The 1208-nt window shown below is 58.0% G+C and overlaps 1 annotated feature.

The window, feature by feature from the left end:
• Positions 368 to 919: an enhancer, noted in NCBI's record as "H3K4me1 hESC enhancer chr18:75050846-75051397 (GRCh37/hg19 assembly coordinates)". NCBI's record gives its function as "activates a minimal SCP1, AML or CMV promoter by ChIP-STARR-seq in primed H9 embryonic stem cells {active_cell/tissue: H9 hESC(primed)}" and the evidence as "EXISTENCE:reporter gene assay evidence [ECO:0000049][PMID:30033119]".

Here is a 1208-nt window from a genome sequence, read left to right as displayed (position 1 = left end):
GCGATCCAGGCTCCCTCAGGAGAGACACAGGCTCGAGAACCACATCCCTCTGCAGGGCTCGGTGATGAGCTGGGGGCCCGCTGAGCACTGTTAGCATTTTAATAGGGAACTTTTGAGACCCAGAGATCCTGGTGTCCTAGAGCACGTGGCCAGTGGCCACAGATCTCCCCAGATGAGATGGGCAGACAGGCCCAGCCCACCTGCTTCTCAGGTTCTTGCTGCAGGGAAATGGGCTATTCCAGCCAGGTCACAGCTGCCACCACACCCAGGCAGAGGAGCTGCCAGCCCTCACCCTGCCTGGAGCTCCCTGCCACCCACTCCTGGGTGGACTCCTGTGTGCAGAGTTCTCCAGCCCCTGGCTCCCCTCGACCCCTGCATGCCCTTAGCCCTGCACAGCCTGTGGGCTGACACCTGGCCCAATCTCTCTCACATCCCTGCCCCCACTTGTGAAGGAGCTGGGACAACTCCAGGCAGAGAGACCCCTGGGAGTTTCACAACCCGGCGTGCGGGCAGCAGCAAGAGTGTGGGAGTGGGGAGTGCTCTGCCCTGAGCATTTTTTAAAGTTCAAGCTGCAATCCAGAAACCCTTGGCTCCAGGCTGTTGTCCCTCCAGTTGTGAAGGGAACTGTTGTGTGCACGTGGTGTGGTAGTAGAGTATTGGGTGAGAAACTCAGGCACACCACACTGCAGGTCCGATCAAGACCCAAAGCACCAGTGAGCCAGTTATTCCCTGTGACTGTCCCAATATGTCTCCTGTCCCACGGTCTCAGGAACCCGTGGCATGTGGTTCCGCCTGCTTCTGGAAACCATGTGATACCAGCTGTGCCACATGGGGTATATCCCCCCTCCCCTCCACCCAGGGCCCCACACACCCCGTGGGCAGAGCACAATCAGACACTCCAGCCGAGCTCTCAGCCTTGACCATGGTCACCTTGATCACCATGGCTGATGTCTGTGACTCGGTTTCATTGAGAAAAGAAAGAAATTTCACCTAATCCGTTGAGTATGTTGTGTGAGGATTAAATTAGTGCACATGGGTGCAGTGTCTGGGACCACTTTTCTCCTCTCCCTCATGGGAGGATGCCATCTTCAATGCCCAGCCTCCTCCGGGGGTCTGTGCTGCTGACTGTCAGGCTCAGAGGTCAGCTGGGGTGGCTCCTCCACCCACTTCTCCCTCCTCTTCTCTCACCCACCCCCAGATCCAGCCTC

Source organism: Homo sapiens, chromosome 18, assembly GCF_000001405.40.
Source record: "Homo sapiens chromosome 18, GRCh38.p14 Primary Assembly".
Classification (NCBI taxonomy): domain Eukaryota; kingdom Metazoa; phylum Chordata; class Mammalia; order Primates; family Hominidae; genus Homo; species Homo sapiens.
Note: the sequence above shows the minus strand (reverse complement) of the source record. Positions and strands in the feature narration are given on the sequence as shown.